Genomic DNA, 8,851 nt, shown 5'->3' on the forward strand with positions numbered 1-8,851 from the left:
TTCATATGATTGTTGGCCACATGTATGCCTTTTGCAAAGTGTCTATTCCTGTCTTTTGCCCACTTTTTTACAGGGTTGTTTTTTTTTCTTGTGAATTTGTTTAATTTCTTATAGATGCTGGATATTAGACCTTTGTCAAATGTATAGTTTGCAAAAATTTTCCCCCAGTCTGTAGTTTGTCTGTTTACTCTATTGATAGTTTCTTTTGCTACGCAGAAGCTCTTAGGTTTAACTAGATACCATCTGTCAATTTTTGCTTTTGTTGTAATTGCTTTTGGCATCTTCATCATGAAACCTTTGCCCATTCCTATGTCCTAAATAGTATTGCCTAGGTTGTCTTTCAGGGTTTTCATTGTTTTGGGTTTTACAGTTGTCTTTTCTTTCTATTTTTTTGTAAGTGAAAACCATTTAATCATTTTAGAGTGGTCAAACTACAATATAAGATTGGTATCTTGTTATCTGAAAGCAATCATTTTACCATATGCATTTTGATCTTTTACCATTCATTTTAAGTTGACGGTTAATTTAAAAACTGAGTTTTAATCAAAGTTGTTTTCAAACATTGTCATAATGTCTCTTTGAAGTCATACCAATGGTACCTGCCATTGCTTCTCTCCTTCTCCACTCTTGTGCTTTCTCCCGTGTTAAATTACGGTCTTTGAGAAACCAGAGTTTGCATTTATCTTGAGCTTCCAATGACTGCATATGTTCTTTCTGCTCTTCTCCATAGCACTTGTTTTGCATTTTATCTGAAAAAGATTCTACAGTCAATTAATTTCCCAGATCCCTCTGATTTTCTTGAGATGCTTTTGGTTCCTTTGTCTTTTGTTCCAAATGTCTCCGTACAGTTCCTGGGTCTGAGCTTTTACTTCCTTTTCTATGGCTGCTTTTCTAAATTGGTTGAAGAGCTCACCTGAGGACTTCAGTATACCTGATGGTTTCACTGGTTTGCCTAAACTTTTCCATGAATCTGCATTCTTAATCTTTACATCCTTCTGCACAGGATCTTGACATTCAAATTCTAACATAGTTGTGTCATTATCACCAGGTGGATGCATCACAGTTATGCCATTCGAAAGCTGCTCAGAATCACCTGAGGGAGGCAGAATTTGTAAAGATGAAATGTTTTTCACAGTCTGTAAATGTTCTAATTCTTGATAATTAAATGCTAATTGGTGCTGATTTTGTGGCTTTCCACAGGAAGGTGTGTACAGTTAAGTCTTTAATCCATCTTGAGATAATTTTTGTATGTGGTGTAAGGAAGCTCTTCGGGTTTGATCTTCTGTATATGGCTAGCCAGTTGTACCAGCACCATTTATTGAATAGGGAATCCTTTTTTCCATTGCTTGTTTTTGTCAGGTTTGTTGAAGATCAGATAGTTGTAAGTGTGTGGTCTTATTTCTGGTTTTTCTATTCTGTTTCATTAGTCTATGTGTCTCTTTTTCTATCAGTACCATGCTATTTTGGTTAGTGCAGCCCTGTAGTATAGTTTGAAGTCAGGTAGCATGGTGTCTCCAGCTTTGTTCTTTTTGCTGCAGATTTTCCTTGGCTATTCAGCTCTTTTTTGGTTCCATATAAATTTTAAAATAGTTTTCTCTGTTTCTGTGAAGACTGTCAATGGTAATTTAATAGAAGTAGCATTCAATCTATAAATTGCTTTGTGCCATATGGCCATTTTAACATTACTGATTCTTCCTATCCATGGGCATGGAATGTCTTTCCATTTCTTTGTCATCTCTAATTTCTTTGAGCAGTGGTTTGTAGTTCTCGTTGTAGAGATCTTTCACCCCCCTAGTTAGCTGTCTTCCTAGGTATTTTATTATTTTGGGGCAATTCTGAATGAGAGTTCATTTGTGATTTGGCTCTCAGCTTGACTGTTGTTGTTGTATAGGAATGCTAGTAATTTCTGCACATTGATTTTGTATCCTGAGACTTTGCAGAAGTTGCTTATCAGCTTAAGAAGCTTTTGGGCTGAGACTAGTGTTTTCCAGATATAGGATCATATCATTTGAAAACAGAGATAGTTTGACTTTCTCTCTTCCTATTTGGATGCCCTTTATTTCTTTCTCTTGCCTGTTTGCCCTGGCCAGAACTTCAAATTCTACATTGAATAGGAGTGGTCATAGAGGGCATCCTTGTCTTGTGCTGGCTTTCAAGAGGAATGCTTCTATCTTTTGCCCATTCAGTATGATATTGACTGTGGGTTTGTCATACATGGCTCCTATTATTTTGAGATATGTTCCTTCAATACCTACTTTATTGAGAGTTTTTAAATGAATGGCTATTAAAAGCCTTTTCTGCATCTATGAAGATAATCATGTGGTTTTTGTCCTTAGTTCTGTTTATGTGATGAATCACATTTATTAATTTGCATATTTTGAACCAACCTTGCATCCTGGGGATGAAACCTACTTGATCATGGCAGATAAGCTTTTTGATGTGCTGCTGGATTCAACTTGCCAATATTTTGTTGAGGATTTTTGCCTTGATGTTCATCAAGGATATTGGTCTGAAGTTTTCTTTTTTGTCTTGTTTTGTTTTGTTTTGTTTTGTTTTGTATGTCTGCCAGGTTTTGGTATCAGGATTATGCTGACCTCACAGAATGAGTTAAGGAGGAGTCCCTCTGCCTCGATTTTTGGAATAGTTTCAATTTGAATGAATGGTACCAGCTCCTCTTTGTACATCTGGTAGAATTCATCTGTGAATCCATCTGGTCCTGGGCCTTTTTTGGTTGGTATGCTATTTATTACTGCCTCAACTTCAGAACTCATGGTTGGTCTGTTCAGGGATTCAATTTCTTCCTGGTTCAGTCTTGGGAGGGTGTATGCATTTGGGAATTTATCCATTTCTTCTAGATCTTCTAGTATATGTGCATAGAGGTGTTCCTAATATTCTCTGACAGTTGTTTGCATTTTTGTGGGGTCAGTGGTAGTATTTCCCTTGTCATTTCTGATTGTGTTTATTTGAATTTTCTCTTTTCTTCTTTATTAGTCTAGCTAGTATTCTATCTATGTTATTATGGTTTATCAGAAAACCAACTCCTGGAGTCATTGATCTATTAAATGGTTTTTCGTGTCTCTATCTCCTTCAGTTCAGCTCTGACTTTATTTCTTGTCTTCTGCTAGCTTTGAGATTTGTTTGCTCTTGGTTCTCTAGTTCTTTTAGTTGTGTTATTAGGTTGTTTACTTGAGATCTTTCTAACTTTTTCATGTGGATATTTAGTGTTATAAATTTCCCTCTTAACGTTACCTTAGCTGTGTTCCAGAGATTCTGGTACGTTGTATTTTTGTTCTCTTTAGTTTCAAAGAACTTCTTGATTTCTGCCTTAATTTTATTATTTACCCAGAAGTCATTCAGGAGCAGGTTAATAAGTCTCCATGTGATTGCAAGGTTTTGAGTGAATTTCTTAATCTTTTCTAATTTGATTGCACTGTAGTCTGAGAGATTATTTCTTATGATTTCAGTTCTTTTGCAATTACTTCTGATTATGTGATCGCTTTTAGAATAACTGCCATGTGGCAATGAGAAGAGTGTATATTCTGTTGTTCTGAGGTAGAAAGTTCTGTAGATATCTATCAGGTCCATTTGATCCACTGCTAAGCCCAGATCCTAAATATCTTTGTTAATTTTCTGTCTCGGTGATATATTTAATATTGTCAATAGGCTGTTAAAGTCTCCTACTATTACCATGTGGGAGTCTAAGTCTCTTCAAAGGTACTCCAAGAACTTGCTTTATGAATTCTGGGTGCTCCTGTGTTGGTTGCATATATATTTAGGATAGTTTAGATCTTCTTGTTGAATTGAACCCTTTACCATTATGTAATGCTCTTCTTTTATGATCTTTGTTGGTTTAAATACTGTTGTGTCAGAAACTAGGATTGCAACCCCTGCTTTTTTCTGTTTTACATTTACTTGGTAGATTTTCCTCCTTTATTTTGAGACTCTGTGTGTCATTGCATGTAAGATGGGTCTATTAAAGACAGCATACCAATGAGTCTTGGTTCTTTTTCCAGCTTTCCACTTTGTATATTTTAATTGGGGCATTTAGCCCATTTACACTTATGGTTAGTATTGCTATGTGTGGATTTGATCCTGTCATCATGAGGTTAGCTGATTATTTTGCAAACTTGTTTATGTGGTTGCTTTATAGTTTCACTGGTCTGTGTACTTCAGTGCTTTTTTTGTATTGGCTGGTAATGGTCTTTCCTTTCCATATTTACTGCTTCCTTCAGAAGATATTATAAGGCAGATCTGTTGGTAACAATTTCCTCAGCATTTGCTTGTCTGAAAAGGATCTTATTTCTCCTTTGCCTACGGAGCTTAGTTGGCCAGACATGAAATTATGGGTTGCAATTCATTTTCTTTGAAAATGTTGTATATTGGCCCCCACTCTCTTCTGGCTTGTAGGGTTTCTGCTGGGAGATTCACTGTTATTCTGATGGGCTTCCCTTTGTATGTGACCTGGCCTTTCTCTCTAGCTGCCGTTAACATTTTTTCCTTCATTTCAGTCTTGAAGAATCCAATGATTATATGTGTTGGGGAGGATCTTATTGTGGAGTATCATACTGGAGTTCTCTGCATTTCCTGAGTTTCAATGTTGGCCTCTCTAGCTAGGTTGGGCAAGTTCTCATGAATGATATCCTGAAATATGTTTTTCAAATTGGTTCCGTTCTCCCTATCTCTTTCAGGTACACCAATAAGTCATAGATTCTGTTTGTTTACATAATCTCATATTTCTTGTAACTTTTGTTCATTTTTCATTCCTTTTTCTCTATTTTTGTCTGCCTTATTTCAGACAGCCAGTCTTCAAGCTCTGAGATTCTTTCCTCCACTTGTTCTATTCTATTAATACTTGTGATTGCATTATGAAATTCTTTTATTTTGTTTTTCAGCTCTGTTAGGTTGGTTAAGTTCTTCTCTGTACTGGCTATTTTCACTGTCAGCTCCTGCAATGTTTTATCACGATTTTTAGCTTCCTTGCATTGGATTACAATGTATTCATTTAGCTCAGTGAACTTTGTTCCTATCCATATTTTGAATTCTACTTCTGTCATTTCAGCCATCTTAGCCTCAGCCTGGTTCCAAGCCCTTGCTGGAGAGGTGACATGGTCAATCGGAGGCAAGAGGGCACTCTCAGTTTTTGAGTTTTCTGTGTTCTTGTGCTGATCTTTCTCATCTTTGTGGGCTTATCTATCTTCAGTCTTTGAGGTAGATGACCTTAGAATGATTTTTTTTCTTTTAACAATCTGGCCACCTTTCCAGACGGCTGCTGTGGTATGCTGGGGGTCCACTCCAGTCCCTAGTCACCTCAAATTTACCAGTACCTGGAGGTATCACCAGTGAAGGCTGCAAAATAACAAAGATGACAACCTGCCCCTCCCTCTGGGAGCTTTGCATCAAGGAGGTACATACATGTTTCTGGCTCAAATGCACTGTGGATGGAGACCCCGGATGGGAGATCTCACCCAGACAGGGGGAATGGGATCAGGGACCCACTTAAAAAAGTAGTCTGGCCACATTTTTGTAGAGCAACTCTGCTGTGCTTGGGCTCCAGTTCAGGCCCTGGTCGCCTCAGACACTCTGAAGCCTGAAGGCTGGAATGGCTAAGTTGCCCAAACAGCAAAGATGGTGGCCTGCCCCTCCTCCTGAGAGCTCTGTCCCAAGGAGGCCTGAAACTTCTGTCAGCCAGACAATACTAGTGGCGGTATCCAGAGATCCCGGTTGGGAGACTCCACGCAGTAATGAGGAACAGGGTCGGGGACCTGCTTAAAAAAGCAGTCTGGCCATGTCTTCATGGGGCTGCTGTGTTGTGCTGGGGTGCCACTTCCACCGCTGTTCAGCTTGGGCTTTTCAAAGCCTGCAGGCTGTAACAGCTAAGTCGCCCAAAAAGCAAAGATGGTGACCCACCCCTCACTCTGGGAGCTCTGTCTCCAGGACTTTTCAAATCGCTGTCGCCAGAAAACACCAGCAGGGATGGCTGGAGGCCCCAGTTGGGAGGTCCCACCCAGTGAGGAGGAACAGGAAGGAGGGCCCACTTAAAGAATAAGTTTGGCCATGCTTTCATAGAGCAGCTGTGCTGTGCTGTGCTGGAGTACCATTTCTGCCCCTGTCAGCTTGCACTTTCCAAATCCCACAGACTGGAATGGCTAAGTCACCCAAACAGCAAAGATGGCAGCCTGCCACTCCCTTTGGAAGCCCTGTCCCTGGGAGTTCTCAAATCTCTGTTAGAGAACACCAGCAGGGGTGGCTGAAGACTCCGGTTGGGAGGTCCTGCCTAGTGAGGAGGAATGGATCCGGGACCCACTCAAAGAAGCAGTCTGGCCACACTTTGGTAGAGTAGCTGTGCTGTGCTGTGGAAGGGGGGGATCCCTTCCACCCCAGGTCAGTTCAGACTCTCCAAAGCCCACAGGCTGAAATGGCTAAATCACCCAAACAGCAAAGATGGTGGCCCACCCTTCCCCAGGAGCTCTGTCCCAAGGAGGCACAACATTGCTACCAGTGCCTGGCTGGAATTCCAAGCCAGTGGGTTTTATCCTGTGAGGTGCCATGGAAGTGGGGTCCGCAGACCATTGCTGCTTGGCCCCCTGGATTCAGCCTCTTTCTTAGGAGTATTTATGGGGAGTCTAACCTCCCACTTTGCTGGAATTTCAATTACTTTTGCTGGGAAGCCCAGAGCTGGAGTACCTAAAGCTCCTGGGTCTCTGCACGTGCCCGAGCAGTTGCTCTGCAGAGACTCAACATAGTTCTGTGTGTCAGACTGAAGGCCCTGATGGAGTGGGTTCATGAGGGGATCTCCAGACCCAAGAGTTGCAAAGATCCATGGGAGAAGTCTGGTTTCTTGGGATCACACATTCACTCACCACTTCCCTGAGTGGGGAACTTCCCTTGGGTCCATGTCACTCCCAGGTGGGCCATCGTCCTGCCTTGCTTTTCTCTGTTCTCCAGGGGTCAAGTTGTTTTCTTGATTAGTCCCAAGGCAAGTAGCTAGATGTTTCAGTTGAAGGTGCTGTATTTACTCACCCTATCCATTCCTCTTTGTGAGAGCCCCACACCTAACCTGCTTCTGGTCAGCTATCTTGGACACTTCTCCAATAACATCACTATAAAAACTTTTCTTCTAAAATAAAATTCTGACTTCTAAATATGTCAAAATTTTTCTAAATTTCTTCTAAAAATATCTGACCTCAAAATATGCAAAATTGCCATGATATAGTTATATTTATTAATAAAACCTTATTTGTTTATTATACAGCATTTTCTTCCTTACTGGAAAAGCTATAGTATAACGACTGCCAAAGGAATGTTTTAATATAATTTAACCACTAGAATCAAGGAAAAAAAAACTATTGTCTCATGGTTTATTGATCTACTTGATTTTATAATGCATCATTGATTTTATATTTTATCAGATATAGTCCTGTTTACTATCAGACATATAAATGAACAATTTACCATTCAGAAGTTTCAAAATTCATGCTTATACTGTAACCATGGATTTGAGGACCAGAAGACTTTTCCCAAAAAAAGAGGTTTTTATGGTCTTGGCTAAACTATTATACAGTTTACAGACTCTGTAAAATCTTTAGGATTCATTTTCAACTTTCTTGTTTTTCTCATCATTTTATTAGGTTGATCAGATCATTGTAGCTTTTGATAAATATTAAACAATGAAGAAATGATTCTATATCTCACCAAATTTACAGATACCAAAATAATAGGTATTCATTAGTTTTCACATTCATGTAGGAGTAACTATATTTTTAGGGAAAGCTATATTTCCACCCGCTTTTTTTTTTTTTTGAGATGGAGTTTCACTCTGTCTCCAGGCTGGAGTGCAGTGGTGCGATCTCAGCTCACCGCAACCTTCGCCTCCCGGGTTCAAGCATTTCTCCTGCCTCAGACTCCTGAGTAGCTGGGACTACAGGCGTGCACCACCATGCCCAGCTAATTTTTTTATTTAGTAGAGACAGTGTTTCACCATGCTGGCCAGGATGGTCTCGATCTCCTGATGTCATGATCCACCCGCCTCAGCCTCCCAAAGTGCTGGGATTACAGGCGTGAGTCACCGCACCCGGCCTTCCCTCACTTTTAATTCAAGCTTTTCAGCAACAATGTATAATGAAAAAAAACAAACAAAAAAAAAACATGCAATTTAGAGATAGGATACCTGGGTGCAGTCCAGGTAAATGGGAATGGATTTATATAATAATAAATAAGGATGGAGATAGGGGAAATAATCTAGTTTGGGCTAGCCTACAATATGGTTTAAATCACTGTCTGAGAAGGTGTAAATCTACTTTGACAAGGGAAACACACAAGTTTTTTTGTATTACAATAGCATCTTTATTTAAAATTTCCAAAACTTGAAAGCAAACAAGATGCCCTTCAGTAGATGAATGAATAAATAAACTGTGGTGTATCTTCTTTTTTAACTTTTAAGTTCAGAGGGACAAGTGCAGGTTTGTTACATAGGTAAACTTGTGTCATTGGGGTTTGTTGTACAGATTATTTCATCACCCAGGTATTAAGCCTAATACTTAGTTCTTTTTCCTGATCCTCTCCCTCCTCCCACCCTCCACCCTTCAAAAGGCCCCAGTGTGTTTTGTTCCCTTCTATGTGTACATATGTTCTCATCATTTAGCTCCCACTTATAAGTGAAAACATGCGGTATTTGGTCTTCTTTTTTTATTATTATTATACTTTAAGTTCTAGGGTACATGCGCACAACATGCAGGTTTGTTACATATATATACATGTGCCATGTTGGTGTGCTGCACCCATTAACTCGTCATTTACATTAGGTATATCTCCTAATCCTTTCCCTCCCCCCACCCACCGCCCCACAACAGGC

General features: G+C 39.7%; 1 pseudogene across 1 annotated transcript; it reads right to left on the reverse strand.

Moving 5' to 3' along the window:
• Positions 1 to 392: 392 nt before the first annotated feature.
• On the reverse strand, positions 393 to 1,209 carry BRDTP1 (bromodomain testis associated pseudogene 1; annotated as a pseudogene). Its single transcript, NR_003539.1, has one exon. The product of NR_003539.1 is annotated as a bromodomain testis associated pseudogene 1 (transcript).
• Positions 1,210 to 8,851: the final 7,642 nt, after the last annotated feature.

This window comes from Homo sapiens, chromosome X (assembly GCF_000001405.40).
Source record: "Homo sapiens chromosome X, GRCh38.p14 Primary Assembly".
NCBI classification, from domain to species: Eukaryota; Metazoa; Chordata; class Mammalia; order Primates; family Hominidae; genus Homo; species Homo sapiens.